This window comes from Homo sapiens, chromosome 2 (assembly GCF_000001405.40).
Source record: "Homo sapiens chromosome 2, GRCh38.p14 Primary Assembly".
NCBI lineage: Eukaryota > Metazoa > Chordata > Mammalia > Primates > Hominidae > Homo > Homo sapiens.
In genome coordinates, this window is record NC_000002.12 from 170,659,953 (window position 1) to 170,681,399 (window position 21,447).

Sequence of the window (21,447 nt, forward strand, 5' to 3'; positions counted from 1 at the left end):
CTGCCTCAGCCTCCTGAGTAACTGGGATTACAAGCACATGCCACCAGGCCCGGCTAATTTTTTGTGTTTTTAGTAGAGACAGGGTTTTGCCATATTGCCCAGGCTGGTCTCAAACTGCTGAACTCAAGCAATTCACCTGCCTCGGCCTCCCAAAGTGCTGGGATTACAGACATGAGCCACCACATCTGGCTAATGATTTATAATTCTACATGAGAATTTTGGCACAGATTTTGTTAGTTTTATTTCTATGTGCCACATATGATTTGATGTTATTTGAAAGGTTTTTTTAGTTATTTTCTATTTGTTTCTGTTATATGGAAATGCGGTTGATTTTTAGCATTTGAGTTCCACAACTTTGCTAAATTTACTCATTAATTCCAATAGTCTATCTATGGATACCTTTGGATTTTCTGTATACATAATTTTACCATCTGCAAATAACTACAGATTTTTTTTTCTTTTCAATCTTTATACCTTGTTTTTTCTTGGCTTACTGCCTGTATCATTTACCTATTACTACATTACCCAAAACAATTACATATTTCTCACAAGTCTAGGGGTTGGCTGAGTATTTCTACTGATTTGAGCTAGTCTTGCCAGGGTTCACTCGTGCATCTGCAATTAGCTACAAGTCAGCTAAGCAGCTTTGTTGATTTTGGCTGGGTTTCTCACATACTTGGGGCCACAGCAGAGACAGCTGGGCTAACTTAGTTCTGTTCTACATGGTCTCAAGCTCCAAGTTACTATTATTCCCAGTGGCAGTGGCAGAGTCTCCAAGAAGGGAGGGGAGAGAAAGAGGTCTCTTTATTCTCAGAAGTGCTACATTGACAATTCCACCACATTCTTTTAATCAAACCAAATCACAGGGCTAGATATTTTTAATATTGTACAACCTACTGTAAGATCCTCTTTATCATCTGTGATCCTGATTGTCACTTAGTTTTTGTTATTAAGTTCTAGCTTACTCGCATTACGAACAGAGAACAATTCAGTAATGATTTCAAGTCTGAAATTTGTTGAGACTTTATAGCTGGAGTGCAGTGGTGCAATCATACCTCACTGCAGCCTCAAACTCTTGGGCTCAGAGATCCTCCTGCCTCAGCCTTCTAAGTAGGTGGGACTATAGGCACACGCCACTGCACCCAGCTAACTGTATGTGTGTGTGTATGTGTGTGTGTGTGTGTGTGTGTGTGTGTGTGTGTGTGTGTGTGTGTGTGTAGAGACGGGACTCTCACTTTGTTGCCCAGGCTGGTCTTGAACTCCTGGGCTCAAATAATCCTGCCCCTCTCATTCTCTCAAAGTGCTGGGATTACATGGGTTTACAGGGATAAGCCACAGTGCCCAGCCAATTTTTGTAAAATTTTAGTACATTTTAAAACTATAATACATTATTAGGTGCATACAAACACTTTTATCATCATTCTCTTGTGGCTACCCAAGAAATTACAGTATGCATCCTTAACTTATCCAATAATAGTAATCCAATAATAGTCATCTAATATTATTTGTATTTTTACTCTCTACCTAGACAATTCCAGAATTGAAGGACCTCAATACACTACCTATATTTCTATGTGTGTGTTCATATACATATGTGTGTTCATATATACATATACACACACACATATATATATATATTCCTTCTTATTTTGCCACTGTTGTGGTATATTTAATTTTGTAGCTATTGCAAGTCACATAAGACATCATTATTATTGTTTACATTACTCTTCATTTCTTCTCACATCTCTGACCTACTATTCTGGGATAGATTTTCTTCTACCTAAAGAACATTCTTTAGTGTTTCCTTTAGCGTGACTCTGCTGCTGTTAAGTTTTTGTTTAACAGAAAATGTCTTTATTTCACTGTCATTCTTGAAAGATGTGTTTGATGGGTACAGAATTCTATATTGGTGGTTATTTTCTGTTATCACCTTAAAAATTGTACTTCATTATCTTCTAGTTCTCATTGTTTCTGCTGAAAGGTCAGCTGTGAGTCAAGTTGTTGTTCCTTTGAAGATAATCAGTCTTTTTCCCTGACTGCTTTTAAGGTTTTCTCTTCCTTTGGTTTTTAGCATTTTTACTATAATGTGGTTCTTATTCATGTTTTCTTACTTTCTTGGTTATTTGTTTATTGCATGCTGGAAACTGCATTTGCAAAATTATTTGTAAAGATAATTGGAGGCCCAGGATAATATTCCATTCCTCCATAAAATAGTAATATAGTTATATTTGCTGGGGGCATGAGTAAGTCAGGATCACTTTAATCCAACTTCAGAGCTGTAATTATTTGAAACTGGCCTGCAGTTCCTCTAAGAGCAGTTCACTCTCTGGTTCACTATCTCCTACAGTGCAGCTCTTTGTGATCCTAAGTCAAAGTGTAAGTGTGTTGAGGGGTAGATATTTAAGACTTCAACTTTTGTCCTGTTGGCCCCACACTGCTCAGCCTCACAGCTTCTTAGTTACCTCTTCTGGAATGGGCAGATGCCTCCCAGAACTCTCCTCTTAGAATTTGTCTTCTGGCCAGGTGCGGTGGCTCTCGCATGTAATCCCAGCACTTTGAGAGGCAGAGGCGGGCAGATCACGAGGTCAGGAGTTGGAGACCAGCCTGGCAAACATGGTGAAACCCCATCTCTACTAAAAATACAAAAATTAGCCGGGCATGGTGGCGTGCGCCTGTAATTCCAGCTACTCGAGAGGCTGAGGCAGGAGAACTGCTTGAACCCGGGAGGTGGAAGTTGCAGTGAGCCGAGATCACACCACTGCTCTCCAGCCTGGGCAACAGAGCAAGACTCCATCTCAGAAAAAAGAAAAAAAGAATTTTGTCTTCTACTAGACCTTGGGGTTCAATATTTCCCTACTCTCTTGCTACCTCTCCAATGCCTACAATAAGGTATATTTTTAATTTTGTCCTAATTTTCACGAGGAGGCCAATTTGAATCACCTATTTCTTTATTACTAAAAGCAAGTATCTTCTTCTATCCATTTGCCATCTTCCAGAAATACGTTGAAATCTGCCTTCCCTTGATCAGTTCCTCTTCCAGTCTTATCACTATTTTGAGCTTATTCTCTTTCGTTCTTATTTATTATGATTAAAATTACAGGCATGTACCACCAGAGCAGCCAATTTTTAAATTTTGGTAGAGACAGAATCCCACTATGTTGCCCAAGCTGGTCTCAAACCTCTGGGCTCAAGCGATTCTCCTGCCTCAGCCTCCCAAAGTATTGGGATTAAAGATGAAACTGAGGAGAAAATTCTGGAGAAATTGAGGAGATAAACGCGTGCATGCTATATCTGCCATGTTGTACCAGGTCCTGCTTAAAATTATTATTATTATTATTATTATTATTATTATTATTATTATTATTAAGACGGAGTCTCGCTCTACCACCCAGGCTGGAGTGCCCTGGCGAGATCTTGGCTCACTGCAAGCTCCGCCTCCCGGGTTCACGCCATTCTCCTGTCTCAGCCTCCCGAGTAGCTGGGACTACAGGCACCCGCCACCGCGCCCGCCTAATTTTTTGTATTTTTGGTAGAGACGGGGTTTCACCGTGTTAGCCAGGATGGTTTCAATCTCCTGACCTCGTGATCCACCCGCCTCGGCCTCCCGAAGTGCTGGGATTACAGGCATGAGCCACCGCGCCCAGCCTAAAATTATTTTTAAGTAACTTAAAATCATTTGTTAATATTAGGATTCAGTCTGGGTATGGTGGCTTATGCCTGTAATCCCAGCACTTTGGGAGGCTGAGGCAAAAGGATCTCTTGAGCCCAGGGGTTCAAGACCATCCTAGGCAACACAGTGGGATTGTCTTTACAAAAATTTAAAAATTAACCGTTATGGTGGCACGTGCCTGTAATCCCAGCTACTCAGGAGACTGAGGTGGAAGGATTGCTTGAGCCCAGGCGGCCAAGGCAGCAGTGAGCCATGAATACACCACTGCACTTCAGCCTGGGAGACAGAATGAGACCCTGTCTCAAAAAAATAGATAAATAACTAAATATTAGGATTTGAACTATTATTTTTATAACAACTGTTTCGAAATATTATTCACATACCATGTAATTCCCCCTCTTACAGTAAAGCCATTGTACTTGGAACTGTTATTAAGAATAAATTATTTGTGCCATGCCTCATGACAATTCTTCAGATTCTACTGTGGGTTTCTGTTTGTGTTTGTTTGTTTGTTTGTTTTTGAGACAGGGTCTCACTCTGTCACCCAGGCTGGAGTGCAGTGGTACAATCTTGGCTCACTGCAACCTCCACCTCCTGGGCTCAAATGATCCTCCACCTCAGCCTCCCTAGTAGCTGGGACTACAGGCGCCCACCACCATGCCCAGATAATTTTTGTATTTTTTTGTAGAGATGGGGTTTCACCATGTTGCCCAGGCTGGTCTTGAACTCCTGAGCTCAAATGATCCGCCCGCCTTGGCCTCCCAAAGTACTGGGATTATAGGCATGAGCCACTGTGCCCAACCAGATACTATTGTTTTAAGACACTGTTGTGGAGCTGCTCCAGGAGCTTACAGCATAGGAGGGGAGATGTGACACCTGCACAGACATTTACAATAAGAAATGGCAAAGCAAGTAAGATGAGAGGAGGCTGCATAAAGGAATGTTTCATGAAGGAATTAGTATTTAAGTTGAATCTTGAATGGTCAGTACAGCAGAAATGGCCAGAAGTAGGACAAACTGGCACTCCATCAAGTAGGTCACCAAGACTGCTGGGCTAGCCCTTGGTGAGGTTTAGAGAAAGCCTTCCTGCTCCCACATTCTAAGCAGCCTTGTGTAACCGGAACAACTAAGTGCCCTGGAAAAGCCCAATTAGACTGAGGAAATAGGAAACTTTAGGCCCTATTGTCGTTTGGTGTTTTTTGTTGTTGTTGTTTTTTGTTTGTTTTTGAGACGGAGTCTCACTCTGTCAACCAGGCTGGAGTGTAGTGGCACAATATCAGCTCACTGCAAACTCCTCCTCCCGGGTTCAAGAGATTCTCCTGCCTCAGCCTCCTGAGTAGCTGGGATTACAGGCGTCCGCCACCACGCCCAGCTAATTTTTTATTTTTATTAGAGACGGGGTTTCACCATGTTGGCCAGGCTGGTCTCGAACTCTTGACCTCAGGTGATCCACCTGCCTTGGCCTCCCAAAGTGGTAGGATTACAGGCGTGAGCCACCACGCCCACTCCCTGTTGTTGTTTTGAATAGAGCATAGTCAAACTAAAAATAAAAGGTAAAACAGAAGAAGTAGACTGTGGGGAACTTTGAATGCTACAGTAAGTAGTTTGGACTCTATTTAGTAAACAATAAGAAGCCAGGGGGGGATTTTGTTCAGAGGAATGCCATAAACAGAGCTGAAATTTGAAGAGGGCTTGTTGGCTGTTGTGTAAAGGGGAGAAGCAAGAGACAAGGAGATCAATTAGAAGATCAATTACAGATCAATTAGTAAGCTAGAGTAATGATAGGGGAATAGAGAGGGACTTGAGACCAACACATGGTGCAAAGACATCACTTTACATACCGGAGGGCGTGGGCTACAGAAGGAAGGGGTGGAGGAAGGACACATTAAAGATGATGCCATGCAGAAGAAATGGGTTGAGATGTGGCGCCACAGTTTTTTAACTGCGTGACTAGGACAGTCACTTTAGTTTCCTGTGGCCTCAGACAACTCCAGAAACTTGGTGGCAGAAGGAAGGAAAGAAATGGAAAGGTAATTAAAGGGGGTTGTGGGATTGGCCAGATTTTCAGGGTGGAAATGATCAGAGACTGAAGAGAAGGATTAGGATTAAGATTTAGATTGACGATGGGAGGGATTAAATATTTTCTATGTTAATGAACTAGATGAAGTTCAAGAGTGAAAAATCAGTATATTAATTGGACTTCACATTCTTATTAATCATTATAGTAGTCATCGAAAGATAGTTTGCTGAGGGCTGTGTTTGCTAATGTTGATTTATGGGATTTCATAATGTATTTATTACCAGTTCCTTGGTGACAGTTAACGTCACCTCCAACAGAAAAGCCAGTTATATCACATACACCGTTTTATAGATATTTCAAAGTTCAGAGACTATCCCTAAAGTAAATGTTTGGGTATTGCTTTTTTTTAATTGCATATGGTGCCGCTTTTCTATGTAGCTTTGACAGAATTACATTAATTTTCATCCTAAATCAAATTTGTGTGAAATGGACATTTTAAAGAGATACTGAGATATTTTCACTTAAATGTTTCTTTGTTTGTATCCATAACTAATTCATAATCTCGTATTTAATTATATGTGGTTCTTTGAATTATTTGATCCATGGAGGACCTCTAATAAAGTCACTAACTGGTTATTGATCAAGTTAATTGGTTAAATGACTGAACGGGTCATCAATTCAGATTGTGTCTATGTGTAAAAACCAGTCTGACTGCTTTTACTGAAGTGTCCAGCCAAATCAGGTTTTCATTATATTCCTGTTAAAAGTAGAAAAGGATTTTGTGCATTTACACATGATGCACATGAACCATCGACAACCTGTGAATATAGCGGGTGGTTGGGGCGGACACTATACTTATTTAATTGGGTAGTGCTTCCCACTTCCGTGAACCTCTGGTATTTACTGTTCTCCAAACCAGCTCCTTGGTTGATGACAGCAAAAAATGCTAGTTTTTGAGTCACGCAGAATGTTTTCTTCATTTCTATACTGTTAATATATTACTGGGCCACATATCATTCAAAACAAAAGGAGGGGAACAAAAATAAAACCACAAAGACAAAACCCTTATTGCTACTCACCCTGCAATGTTAAAAGCAAAGAAACTATTCCGACCAACTAACATTTCCGTGACAACACTAGACGGTTGGATGCCTCTTGCCAGATCAGTGTAGAGACATAAGTAATGCCATATCACTGCCCTATACACACAAAGGCTATGTTTTAGAACAGTAAGAATCCTTAGAAAATACATAGGCCAATCCACTCCTTACAGGACAAGACAGAGATCCAGTGAGTCACTAACAGAGTCAAGAATCTAGGTTGATTTTTTCTGCATTCTGAGCTCGTTGGACCAAACTGCCAATGATATACTATCCAAGACCAGCCTTGTCTGCACACAGAACAGACAGCTTGCTTAGAAAGAAGATGTTCTGTTGGGCACGGTGGCTCACGCCTGTAATCCCAGCACTTTGGGAGGCCGAGGTGGGCAGATCCCCTGAGGTCAGGAGTTCAAGACCAGCCTGGCCAACATGGTGAAACCCCATCTCTACTAAATATACAAAAATTAGCTGGGCGTGGTGGCAGGCGCCTGTAATCCCAGCTACTCGGGAGGCTGAGGCAGAAGAATCTCTTGAACCTGGGCGGCGGAGGTTGCAGTGAGCTGAGATCATGCCATTGTACTCCAGCCTGGGGAACAAGAGACTTCATCTCAAAAAAGAAAGAAAGAAAGAAAGAAGATGTTCTTCTCTCCAAAAATATTTCCTTAACTAATTCTCCCAATTTGTAAGATATTGATACCTGGCCTAATGCCTTGCAAGAACTCCACAGATATTTAGATGTAAACTGAGGACATCTAAGACCATTATTAAAATAAAAATATTTAACAAGAACTGGCCATTTCACTGGCATTCTCCCATGATGTACTGTCCATACAGCTGTACATAGGTAAAAATTATAAATGGTAAACTCAGTAAAGCAATGTTACCTGACCATGGTCAGAGAGCTAGTAGGGAGGAGCAATGTGCAAATCCAAGTGGGTCAGATTCCTAAACCATGCTCCTTTCAGGAGCCAGGGAGCCTGTATTTCAGTGTCTTTAAGGAACGCTAATGGTTAAATGGCAATCTGCCCATAGCCAGAGCAACCGAAATATAGCTCAATATAAATTATGCTGATACCGAGCCAGGCATGGTGGCTCACGCCTGTAATCCCAGCACTTTGGGAGGCCGAGGCGGGTGGATCACCTAAGGTCAGGAGTTCAAGACCAGCCTGACCAACATGGTGAAACCCTGTCTCTACTAAAAATACAAAATTAGCCAGGCATGCTGGTGCGTGCCTGTAATCCCAGCTACTTGGGAGGCTGAGGCAGGAGAATCGCTTGAACCCAGGAGGCAGAAGTTACAGTGAGCCAAGATCGCGCCATTGCATTCCACTCTAGGTGACAAAGTGAGACTCCATCTCAAAAAAAAAAAAAAAAAAAAAAAAAAAAAAAAAGCTGATGCTTTTATCTCATTTCTATCTGAGAATAACAATAACTGATATGTATTGAGTACTTGTGTACCAAGCCCCGGCTTTACCCTATTGCTTCATTTAATCTTCACAAGTAACCTATTAGACAAATGTTTTCATCATTGTTAGTAACATTTTTACAAGAAACTGAGGTGTAGAGCAATTTAGTGACTCACCAAAGACCTCGCAATTTGCAGCAGGGATTTGAGCCTGGGCAGTGACTCCAGAGTCCTTAATTACTATTTTATGCTGCCATGTAGACACCTTCAGCCTCCATAAGAAGCCTACAGAAGGGGCCTGGTGGTGGTTCCATGAAGAAAGTTGTGGAGACTCCAGATTGCTAAAGGTGCAATAGAGGCAGAGGTAGAAAGAAGTCTGAATCTTTTAGACAACTATTATTAATAGTTCACACAATTATCAAAGGTCTTGAGGCAGCATGGACTAGCCTTTACAGAGCCTTGCGGAGAAATTCCTGATCTCTTGGTGACAATTAACAAGGCAATGGGGGAAATGATGTGAGTCTTCTCTTTGGAGACCACTCACAGCCATCTTTTTTCCCAAAGAAGAATGCCTAAAATTATTCTTACAATCTATGCTTCAGTTGTACTTAGTTCCTCGGATGAGTTATCTTTTGAGAGCTGGTCCTGAGACAATGAACCAATGAACTGGGATAAGCAAGTTTGTTGGGGATCTGTGGGCAATAAGAAGTCTGGGGCATGTACTGCAAAGGCAGATGGAGACACAAAGCAGGAAGAACGCTAAGAAGCAAAGAAAACCTGCAGGGATAAAGGAAAGCAGGAAAAACGGAAGACAATTTCTCTGTTAGTTCTGGCTGTAGTTCTGACATTCAGAAACTAAACTGAAAAACTCAGCCAGTTACCCAACTATTGTGCAGTATAACTAAATTAACAGTGTCTTTATTTTTGGTTAGCGATCATTTCTGCTTTCATTCAAAGAACATTCAGACCAAAAATTCAAGCATATAACTCATTGGGCTTCTCCCCAGCAACCCAATAGTAAATCTATCCAGGGAATAAAATAAATATTATCAACTTTCTTCCTTTTTTTATTTTGAAACAGAGTTTCGCTCTTGTTGCCCAGGCTGGAGCGCAATGGTGCGATCTCGGCTCACCGCAACCTCTGCCTCCCAGGTTCAAGCAATTCTCCTGCCTCAGCCTCCCGAATAGCTGGGATTACAGGCTTGTGCCACCACACCTGGCTAATTTTGTATTTTTAGTAGAGACAGGGTTTCTCTATGTTGGTCAGGCTGGTGTTGAACTCCTGACCTCAGGTGATACGCCTGCCTCAGCCTCCCAAAGTGCTGGGATTATAGGCATGAGCCACCACGCCCGGCCCCTCAACTTTCTTAATTACTTACATGCAAAATTTGTTCTTCAACTTGGCCATGCAGGGAAGTGGCATCTCTCAATGTTATGTGTTGACAAACTACCACCTGTGTGGGCCAAAGCTCCAGACCCACAGTGTTTTTGGTTTTGTATTGTTTTGTTTTGTTTTGTTTTTGGTGATGGAGTTTCACTCTTGTTGCCCAGGCAGGAGTGCAATGGCGTGATCCGGGCTTACGGCAACCTCCACCTCCTGGGTTCAAGCCATTCTCCTGCCTCAGCCTCCCAAGTAGCTTGGATTACAAGCATGCACCACCATGCCCGGCTAATTTTGTATTTTTAGTAGAGACGGGGTTTCTCCACGTTGGTCAGGCTGGTCTCGAACTCCTGACCTCAGGTGATCCGCCCACCTCAGCCTCCCAAAGTACTGAGATTACAGGCGTGAGCCATCACTCCCGGCATGGTTTTTTTGTTGTTTTTTTTTTTGTTTTTTTTAAACTAGAGATGAGGGTCTCACTATGTTGCCCAGGCTGGCCTCAAACTCCTAGGTTCAAGCTATCCTCCTGCCTCTGCCCCCCCAGGTAGCTGGGACCATATTGATTGCCTCTGTACCCCAACTCCAAAGTGTCTTTTTATAGATAAAGTTTTATTGGCACACAGTCACACCCATTCATTTACATATTGTCCACAGCTGCTTTCACACTACAACAGTAGCGTTGAGTAGTTATGACAAAAACCTTATGGCCTACAAAGCCTAAAATATTTACTCTTGGCCCTTTACAGAAAAAGTTTGCCAACCCCTAGTCTAGACTACTAATGAGAGAAATGGAGGAAAAACTTTTTTCTAACAACTTTCTAACAATTTTGGGGGGAACGCCATATAAATTTGGCTTAGTAAAAAAAGACTATTGGACCGCCCCCCAGAAAATTGTGCCAAAGAGTTTAGAAAAATAAATATACAATAAAAGTAAACACACACACACAAAACAGCAAACTTGAGGTAACTATTTTGGATTGCAAACAGGATAAATTAAATGTTCAAACAATCTGATAAAATAACCACTTGGAAACCGAAAAAAAAAAAAAGACTCTTAGACTAGAAGCCTGATAATATGATTTTGTTGCCTTTTTTTAAGTTACAGGATTAATATTATATAAATGGGACTATAGAATATGAGCCAGTGAGGTTATCCTAACTACTGACTCCTGTATCAAGCAATAACTGTGGGAAGAGGGAAGACAGTGTGGAACGCTTCACAGCTCACCATGCAAGAGGAGAAAAAATGAGTGAAGGAGCCCAGAGGGAAAGAATGTTTTCAAAGCTATGGTTTCCTCATCTATTGAATAAGGGCACTGGGCTTCTCCCTGCGGCCTAGGATTAACTTCACTGGCTTTTTGTGAATCACCACAAAAATCCCAAGATTTTATGTCCTGAAATCCAGCATCCTACATTCACTCCTGGATGTGGATGTCTTCTTGAACTATACCATCAGGAATCATCAAACCACTGAAGCATCTATTCAGTACACTGGGATTCTCTGGTTACCTATTACTATTCCAACATCTTTAGTTTCCATATGTATAATATGTCTGAATGACTTAACAACTTCTAATTATTAGCAAATTCACATCTTTTCCCCAATATTAATACATGCAAGCCAGCTATCACAAGACACCATTCTCAGCCGAACACTACAGGATTCAAAACTTCTCTGAGGCCTCAGCATTATCTTATTAGCGACTAACCGCCGACTAACCTACACATTTTGAGTCAGGCTAGGAGTGACTGATAACTGTCCGTGTGACTGGGTAGCTGTAGGTTCCTGACAATCATGGTAGGTAATCTTGTGACCAAAGAGCAGCTTAATTGAGATTTTAAAAACTGTCACAGCTCTCGGAAGAGGTGTAGATAGAAATTATCTGTGCGTCTCATATGTCTATATTATACAGCTAGGAATAAGGCTCGCGCCTATTAAAAATATATTCAGGCCGGGCGCGGCGGCTCACGCCTGTAATCCCAGCACTTTGGGAAGCCAAGGCGGGCGGATCACGAGGTCAGGAGATCGAGACCATCCTGGCTAACACGGTGAAACCCTGTCTCTACCAAAAATACCAAAAAAAAAAAATTAGCCAGGCATGGTGGCGGGCGCCTGTAGTCCCAGCTACTCAGGAGGCTGAGGCAGGAGAATGGTATGAACCCGGGAGGCAGAGCTTGCAGCGAGCCGAGATCGCACCACTGTACTCCAGCCTGGGCAACAGACCAAGACTCCGTCTCAATAAATAAATAAATATATATATATATATTCATTTATTCCACGAATATATGCTGAATACCTACTTTATGCCAGGAATTGGGTTAAACTTATTATGTCTGCAACTGTAATCCTTACATGATTTTGTGTTTCATTTTATCCCACATTCTTGCTAAAATAAGCCACACTACACAAGTTTTCCCTGATTTTTCTGATAAATATTGAGCTGTCCACTTGATGATATTTTCACACAAAAATCACAGGGAAGAAGCACTTCCTGCAAGGACATCAGAGGCAATACCCACTTTTTCTTGATGGCTTTGGCTCCAGGGGGTCAAAATATCCCATCATATTTAACCAATACGGTTCCCTCACTGATAGTGTCCACTTTTTCCATCCCATTTATAGCTAAAAAGGAGCCTGCCACTTTTAGCTCCAGGATATGTATGAGAAAGCCATAAGAATTCAAGAAAGGGATGGGGGAGATGGGGCGGGGGGCTGGTCACAGAAACCTGATCGTCCCTCTCAGCTTTGGAGGGCAGAGAGAAGTATTGGGGGCAGAAGCCACCTTTTCTTCTTCAGAAACAGGAGAGATGAGAGGAGGTTCTTGGGACCTGATCCAGGGCAGAAGGGGTAAAAATAGTGACTGCTAAGCCGATGATTTTCCAAGAGCCTCCCAGCTCAGTATATCAGAGCTGCCTGCAGTGCTCGGTACAGTAGACCTTTCCCTGGGCCCACCCAGACCTGGAGAATCAGGGCCTCTGGAGTGGGGTGAGGGAAAGTCTATACGCCAAAGTGATTTCCATGCACAAAAAAGTATGAGAACCCCTGTTGAAATATTTATGAATTAATGTACAGGCCTTTAACTTTAAATTAACTAAAACATTGATTTAAACAAGTGTGGCTAATATTATAATGGAGTTTATTAAAACTCAAGCCCTTAAAGCACCATGATGAGTGACAGAAAATTACCTTGGAGTGGGTCTTTCTTCCCACCCTCTTCTCTCTAGCTTCCCTGTCTTTTCCCACCCCTCTCCCTTTCATCATATGGGAAGGGCTGTAGGACTAAAAACCAAGCAATAAAAGCAGCAGCAGCAGCAGCAACAACAAAGACTAAAGGCCAGATGCAGGGCAGGACTAGGCATTAGCTCATGGCTAAGAAAGGTCGCTGAAAAAAGCAGAGAAGGCAAAACGTTTACATTTCTGTTGTAGACATTTCCATATATATATATATATATATATATCTCACATGTGATATATGTATATATCACATTCTATCTGTAAAGATTAACAAGACTGGCGAATTTATCCCTGAAATAGGAATCTCCTTCCAAATTATCCCTGAAGCTAAACTTCTTAATAATGATTACAGATGATATATGCGATTATCCCTATTGCAAGAAGTAGTTTTCCTCAATCTCTCTATCCTGTTCTTGTGTTGCCTAAACAGACTGACACCCAGGGGTCCCTTTCTTCCTCATCCTGCTGCTCTCAGAAGCCTTTTGCTCCACTGACCACTCTTCTAACCTTGGGCAGGTTCTCTCTCCATCTTCTTAACTGAACTTTGTCCCCACACTCCTACGTATTCTGTGATGTTTTAGACAGAAAGATGAAATAAATATCCTTGCCCTCCAGTCTCATGCCATCTACATGAGACAGTGATCAACTAAACCCAAATCAGATGGTCAATTCAACACAGCTCTTCCTGGCCACTCCTCAGCTTCTTCTCTTGCTCCTCTTTCTGCTCACCCTTTTAAGTTTGCAACTTTTCTCCTATGCCCTTTGATTTTCTCTAAACACTATCTTTCCCACACATCACTGAAAACATTTTGCTAATGAGAAATACTTCCTTTGCTATGTTAAACAAAAGGCATTTGATGATGAAGTCATTTTAAAATCTTAAATCATTTTTTAAGGTAAGTACAAGTACCACCTGGGCTTTCAAGAAAGAAAATAGTTGACTTCAATAGTTGTTTTATTTTATGGGATAACCAAAACAGCTTTTAAATTGCACCAAAATAATGGGGAGCGATGAATGAAAGAGCAGTATAAAAATACATGTTTAAGCCGAGTGTGGTTGTGCATGTCCACAGTCCTAGCTACTCACGAGGTGGAGGTAGGAGCTCCAGGAGCTCAAGACTGCAGTGAGCCATGATCCTAACACTGCACTCTAGCCTGGGTGACAGAGCAAGACCCTGTCTAAACAAAGAAACAAACAAACAAAAAAAAAAAACAGCTGAAGCACAGTCTTTCCTATTTCCCTCCTGATTATACTGAAAAATACATATTGGTGTCAAGACAGATACGTACAGATAGATAGATAGATAGATAGATAGATAGATAGATAGATAGATAGATGGCAAAGTGAGAAAATTAAGTGAAGACTATGCAGGAACTAATTCATCAAGAGTTGTTGGTTAATACCTAATGGGGAAAAAACACTAGGAAGAATATGAGATCACACCATGTGGGAAGGCTGTCTGTACATTAATATTTTAATTCATGCCAAAAACAAAACTATATGAGAAAATGTTAAAATGCAGAGAATTTCTCCTTAAAAGTGAAAATAGGGTGAGGTATGGTGGCTCACACCTGTAATCCCAACACTTTGGGAGACCAAGGTAGAGGGATTGCCTGTGGCCAGGAGTTGGAGACCAGCCTGGGCAACATAGTGAGACCCCCATCTCTACAAAAAATTTAAAACTAAGCTGGGCATGTTGGTACATGCCTGTAGTTCCAGCTACTAAAGGAGGCTGAGGCAGAAGGATCCTTTGAGCCCAGGAGTTCAAGGCTGCAGTAAGTTATGATTGCACCACTGCACTCTAGCCTGGGCAACAGAGCAAGACTCTGTCTCTTAAAAAAAAAAAAAAAAAAAAAGGTGAAAATAGCTCTCCAAGTGGGCAGAAAGGGGATAGAGAACACTTAAACATGTTATGTTACTATACAATAAATCAATCCTAACTTACCCATCCTAATGAAGGAAAATAGCAGCACATCAGTCCAGGGTGGCCAACCAAAAATAGCATTACTATTAGACTTTTAATATATTTGAGTTACTCGTTTTAACAGGGATGGGGTTCTGTTCTGAGAATTCATCAGATCTCAAACCAATTAACAAGAAAATATTTAGCGTGCTCTTTTTATGTGCAGAACACTCAACACAATGTCTGGAGTGTGGCAAAGACTTGGCACGGTATGGGATAGTTTAGAACATCCCTTCACATTTACATAACATGTTTTCCAAAATGAATTTTTTTTATCATTCATTCATTCATATACTCATTCATTCAATGAATCTCTGACCTATTATGTTCCAAGCACTGCTCTGGCCCTTGGAATACATCAGTAAACAAACAGATAAAAAGCTCTGCCTTCTCACTCCTGTGGAGCTTCAATTTAGGTTGGGGGGATGACCGGTAAGCATAATGAAAAAATCAACTACATGGTGTGTCTAAAGTTGCCAGTTTGCTTCAGATAGCCTCAGACTGTAGACATTGCCCTGGCTCCTCTCATCCCAGGTTGATGACCCCTTTCACTCTCAGAAGGTCATATTTGATTAATAAATTGTATAGTCACTCTAAGTATGTTTGAAGTTAATAAGGATCATGGGAAGAAGGGAGAACAGAGGGTGGATTGCAATTTTAACAGGGTGGTCCAGGTGGGTCTGATCAGAGCAAGAGACATTTGAGCTAAGATTTGAAGGAGATGAGAGAATTAGCCAGAAGAATATGACTTTAAAAGTCTACATCCTTATTATAAAACATTGAAATAATACCAAAGTGTAAAAAGTTACCTCTCTTTCTTCCCTACTTAATTCTACTATTAAACAGTTTCTTTTGCACTTTGGGAGGCCGAGGCAGGTGGATCACAAGGTCAGGAGATGGAGACCATCCTGGCTAAAATGGTGAAACCCCGTCTCTGCTAAAAATACAAAAAAAATTAGCTGGGCGTGGTGGCACGCACCTGCAGTCCCAGCTACTTGGGGGGCTGAAACAGGAGAATCGCTTGAACCTGCGGGGTGGAGGTTGCACTGAGCCAAGATTGCACCACTGCATTCCAGCCTGGGCAAAACAGCGAGACTCCATCTCGAAAAAAAAAAAACAGTTTCTTTTTCAGGCATATACAAGACTTTAGAACATAAGTTGTATCATATTGCATACCATATGGCAGTTTTAAAAGCAACAACTTGTTATGAAAACATCACATTCTACATCTTAAATATATACAATTTTATTTTAAAATAAAATAAAATGATTTAAAAAAATTTATTACCTCTCTATCTAAATCAAATATGCTCTAGTAAAAGAAGGGAGTGGGGCATTCGGGGGGAAAGGATGGGGAGGAGGGAGAAAAGGCTTAAACTTTTCTTGGTAATGGAGTTTATGCTAAGACTCAATGCATCTTGCAGGCTACAGCAAGTTTCTGTAAAACATACAGAGATAGGCCAGGCGCAGTGGCTCACGCCTGTAATGCCAGCACTTTGGGAGGCTGAGGTGGGTGGATCACAAGGTCAGGAGTTTGAGACCAGCCTGGCAACATGGTGAAACCCCATCTCTACTAAAAATACAAAAATTAGCTGGGTGTGGTGGTGGGCACCTGTAGTTCCAGCTACTCGGGAGGCTGAGGCAGGAGAATCCCTTGAACCTGGGAGACGGAGGTTGCAGGGAGCCAAAATTGTGCCACTGCACTCCAGCCTGGGCGACAGAGCGAGACTCCATCTCAAAAACAAAAACAAAAACAAAAACAAAAAACATGCAGAGATAGGCCAGGCACGATGGCTCACACCTATAATCCCAACACTTTAGGAGGCCAAGGCGGGCAGATCACGAGGTCAGGAGTTCAAGAACAGCCTGACCAACATGGTGAAACCCCGTCTCTACTAAAAATAAAAAAAATTAGCCGGTAGTGGTGGCACACACTGTAATCTCAGCTATTCAGGAGGCTGAGGCAGGAGAATCACTTGAACCCGGGAGGCGGAGGTTGCAGTGAGCCAAGATCGCACCACTGCACTCCAGCCTGGGCAGCAGAGCAAGACTCCATCTCAAAACAAAAAACAAAAAAAACTAAACAGGCCGGGTGCAGGGGCTCATGCCTGTAATCCCAGCACTTTGGGGGGCTGAGGTGGGTGGATAACCAGGTCAGGAGATCGAGATCATCCTGGCTAACATGGTGAAACCCCGTCTCTACTAAAAATACAAAAAAGTAGCCAGGCGTGGTGGTGGGTGCCTGTAGTCCCAGCTACATGGGAGACTGAGGCAGGAGAATGGCGTGAACCTGGGAAGCGGAGCTTGCAGTGAGCGGGGATTGTGCCACTGCACTCTAGCCTGGGCGACAGAGCGAGATTCCGTCTCCAAAAAAAAAATACGGAGACATTGAGGATGACCACAAAGAATGCTTTAAGAATAACAGTATCTCTCCATGCAGAAGTTGAAGAATTTGATCATCTCACTAGCAGTGAAATCAGCAAAGAAATATTTGAGAGATTTCACTAACACCATGAATGCATTGGATTCATTTCTTTTCTTCACTGGGGTTCCCTTCTTTCTTTCCCCTGCAAACAGGGAGACGGTGGGTGTCATTGACATTATGTATGACTTTTTATTTTGTTTCTCCTCCTTCCTGACCCCTCCCCCACCCCATCTGAAGAGTGGGGCCATCATGATGTCACATTAAGCTAAGGGTATCCGTAAGGATAAAAGGCTGGGTGGGTACAAGGTCATGATTTATAATAGAAACACTTCTCCATGACCAGCATATTGTAAGCTCCACTTGATCAAGTTAATGTCGTGGCAAGTTACGTGTGTAATTTATTTCTTTGGGCGAAACTAGTCCTATAATAACGGTACACTTTATGTAAAATCTGTCAGCAGGCACTGAGTTAATAAAAAGACCATATCACCAAGACATTTATAGAACCAGATTCAGTACATCTTAGTAATTGATTCTTCCTTTGGTGATTTATTATTACTGTGAAGGCATATGGACTGATACTGGGTGTTCAGAATGAAAAGTAAAAAGATTCAATCTAGAATCTGGACCTTATGGCCTACCGTGCACCAAGCATTATCTGGCCTTTTCTAAATAGTATCAGCATGTTCCCAAGTCTCTGGAGGATGAAACACCCAGGCTGAAACTATCACTTGTCAGTCCTGAGTTTAGGGTATGTAGACATAGCTTAATACCATAACTCAGAAAGAAGAGGGGAAAGCCTTTAGCAAATAGGATAAATCCTTGTTAAGTTAGAGCTAATTACACAGCGTATATAAGACTTTCAGTGGTTTAAATTGAATTCCCTCTGAATTGTGAGGATCTTATTCATGAATAAGAGTCTGATTAGCTTTAGTAGCTTTTCCAAAGTATGTGTTCAGGAAAATAAGACCTGCCCTCAGAGGCTGAGTCTAGCAACTCAGTCTCATAAACGGATGTGTTTATTAGTTTGTAATGTAAGTCTATAAACTATAGCGTTTTTTGTTTTTGTTTTTGAGATAGGGTCTCACTCTGTTGTCCAGGTTGGAGTGTAGTGGTGCCATCACAGCTCACTGCAGCCTCGACCTCCTGGGCTCAGGTGATCCTCCTACCCAGCCTCCCGAGTAGTTGGGATTACGGGCACATGCCACCACGCCCAGCTAATTTTTCTATTTTTAGTACAGATGGGGTTTCGCCATGTTGCCCAGGCTGGTCTCAAACTCCTGGGCTCAAGTGATCTGCTTTGCCTAGGCCTCCCAAAGTGCTGGCATTTCAGGTGTGAGCCACCACTCCTAAACTACAACGTTTTTATTAGTGAATTAATTTTTCTTACAATAGTCCATTTTATATCAGATGATAATATTTTATATTGAATAAAATATCCTTTTCTTTTTCAAAAATTGTATCATTTAGGCCTTCCACAAAGTCAGACTACCCATCCACAGCACACACACTCATTCTCAAGTAATGAAATTGAACTGCACTATTATCATTATGCAAAGCTATGTAAAATAACACAAGTGCGTTAGGATGTATTTCACCCAGCTTTTGTCTACAGGAAAACCTGAGAAAAAAATGAAATGGGTGTCTATCCCTAATTCCTAACAGTAAATGTCCTTGCCTTTGGACCTTTCTGTGTTCTTGGACAGAGAGATCAAGGTGAAAAATATCAAGGAGTAAGAACAGACAAGGCTAAGATGAAAGAAGTTTGCCAACCACCTGCCAGATGGGAAAATCCTTACAGTTCATGAGCATCTGAATTTCCCAAGATTTTTTAGAGAGAGACATAAGTTATACATAGAAGATGAATTGCCTGAGCCTCTGAATCACAAACTCTCTAAGACCGCCTAATGTTATTTTTAAAAATGTATGAATACATACATCTTCATTTTTACTTTATAATCTGAGCTACAGAAAATTTACTACAGCATTATCACCCAGGCCTCATTACCTCTTGGTTAATTAGCTAACATTTGTAAAGTGCTTTGAAGATGAAAAGCATCATATAAATACTAAGAATTATTAAATAACATGAGGGGGAAATCATAAAATAGCTACATTGTTAACATTAATTTGTATTTTATCTGATTATCTTCTCCCTAGCATTTGACATTTAGGGCTGGACTATATATAAAGGCTGAGGAAGTTACAATGTCTATTACAGCTGCGCTCAGGATTTCAACTAGCTCCAAATTAATACTTGCCAAAAAACAAGTTTCAAGCAGAAACAAATCAACTGTCCAGAGATCGCCACTTATACTGGTTAAAGTGTTAACTAGTTAAGCAAACAATTTGCCCCCCGCCCCGCCCCACCCACAGTTAAAGGGAAAGCTCTGTTAATCCAGAGACTATTAATAAACATTTCTACGTCAAGAAAACACAAAATATACTCATGAATAGTGAGCTCAGCCAGACCATTTTGGTGTGAAACATGTGATTCCACTTTGCACCCACGGTACAGTTGCAGATCCTGCTGCTGAGTAGCTCAGGGCGGTATATTATGCAGTGTTGACTGTTCCGGACATTTTGCTGTCATCAAAGTGAGTTAAACAAACTTTTCTGAAGCTGCAGTTCCACTCCCCGTCATCTCACCTCTCCCTTCCCCCAATCCCAAACGGACAGGACAGGCAAACCTGCCTTAGAAAGTCTTTGGCAGCCTGCCAGGGACTGATACAAGGAGGGAAAAAAGCTATAGTAAAATATTATTTAAATATATGTATCATGAAAGCTTTCAATAAAACAGGAAGTAATAGATCAAGTACATTCAAAGTATTTGCAAACTGCTTAATTGGGTAAGGGCAAGTCAAACTCTTCTGATCACAGCAACTTCCTTATTGTAAAGCCCACTTCAGTGATACTGAAGTTAATCCCAAGTCCTGTAACAGGAAACGCATCCTTATTAAAGTAACATTAAGTGCTCCTTTTTTATTGATCTTTCCCTTCAGCTTAATGATAGAAACTTACTGATGTTTTAATAATAACCTCACAAGCTTTATCTCATTTTACTTTGCCTTGCTACTAAAAGATGCAGTGGAAACTAACTTAGCATAAACATTTTGCAGATGTCTTTAAAGGCCAGAGGGAGGTGAAAAAAAAAAGATTCAATTGAGCTGCATGTTAACAAAGATGGCTGAAAAACTAAAAGATAAAAGGGAGGCTCCAGTGTGAACATCAAAGAATTGTTAATGACAAGAAATACCATTAGGGTTAGCATCTCTTTTGTTTTAACCCTTTCACACCTGCAGTGTGTGGTGAGCTAAGCCTTTGTTCCAAAATCTGAATTACCTCCATTAGCATTTATAGAAAAATGGTTGCAAAACAACAGAAATGTACTTTTGATTCTCCCCCTTTGCTTGAAAAGTCAGAAATTAGCTAGGTATCTGTGGGTTTCCTTCTAGTTACTGGGTGTAACTATAGAGACTATAGAGGTGGAAGGTAATAGGTTGCAAATGAGTTTGGTTGAAATGTGAGAATAGCTTTGTAACTGAAAAACAGAAGTAATACCAGCAATGTGGAGAAGCTCACATAAGAAGCTCAGACATTAGCAATAGCAAAATCAGAGCGTGAAATTCAGATTAGCCCTCCCCAGGCTGTGAGAGGAAGGGGGTATTGCAAGACTTGGCATGGCTAAAGGTGTAACCTGTTTTATTTGGCCCCTGAAAAATTTTAACAGATGGTGGGACCAGCTGTCTTTTTCAGCCATTTAATAAACTCTTCGGTGGTAACAGTTTGGAAAGTGGGGGTTTTTCGTTTTAGGCCAGAGGAGAAAATAAAGAAATCTGTCCTAAATTGTCTTTGCCAAGTAGTAAAGCCTGGAAACATTTTGAAAAGTTAAAGACCAAAAAAAAAAAAAAAATCTAACAGACTATACAGTTGTCATTATATTTTTTAAGAGAGCAGCAATAAAAACAAATCTGCCAAATAAGATGACTAAATACTGGCCAAATGCATTTTGTATCAATCTTCTAATCTGGGTTTTAAATTTTGGTCTTTTAAAAAGAGATGCCTGGTTATCCTGTTTAAGGCTTATTGGCAAATTAACAGCACTTTAAGGCAACTATCCACAGCAGCACAAAAAGAAGCAAACTAAACATTTATTACAAGTTAGTACTCATAAGATAAATACTTACTCATAATGAAGGGGTGAATTCCCTCCAATTTACATAATTAGTCTAAAATGGCATAGAACC

General features: G+C 41.2%; 1 long non-coding RNA gene across 14 annotated transcripts in view, besides 1 other annotated feature; it reads right to left on the minus strand.

The window, feature by feature from the left end:
• Nucleotides 1-21,447, minus strand: part of LOC100130256 (uncharacterized) — a 96,216-nt gene that overhangs the window by 44,161 nt on the left and 30,608 nt on the right. For 8 of the 14 annotated variants that reach the window (NR_187622.1, NR_187619.1, NR_187627.1 and 5 more), the window contains exon 4: nt 8,373-8,536. The exons of the other annotated variants lie outside the window; for them this stretch is intronic. This is a non-coding gene — a long non-coding RNA (uncharacterized LOC100130256). The remainder of the gene's footprint in view (nt 1-8,372; nt 8,537-21,447) is intronic. 14 annotated transcript variants of the gene reach the window in all.
• Nucleotides 20,353-20,902: an enhancer, noted in NCBI's record as "OCT4-NANOG-H3K27ac hESC enhancer chr2:171536815-171537364 (GRCh37/hg19 assembly coordinates)". NCBI's record gives its function as "activates a minimal SCP1, AML or CMV promoter by ChIP-STARR-seq in primed H9 embryonic stem cells {active_cell/tissue: H9 hESC(primed)}" and the evidence as "EXISTENCE:reporter gene assay evidence [ECO:0000049][PMID:30033119]".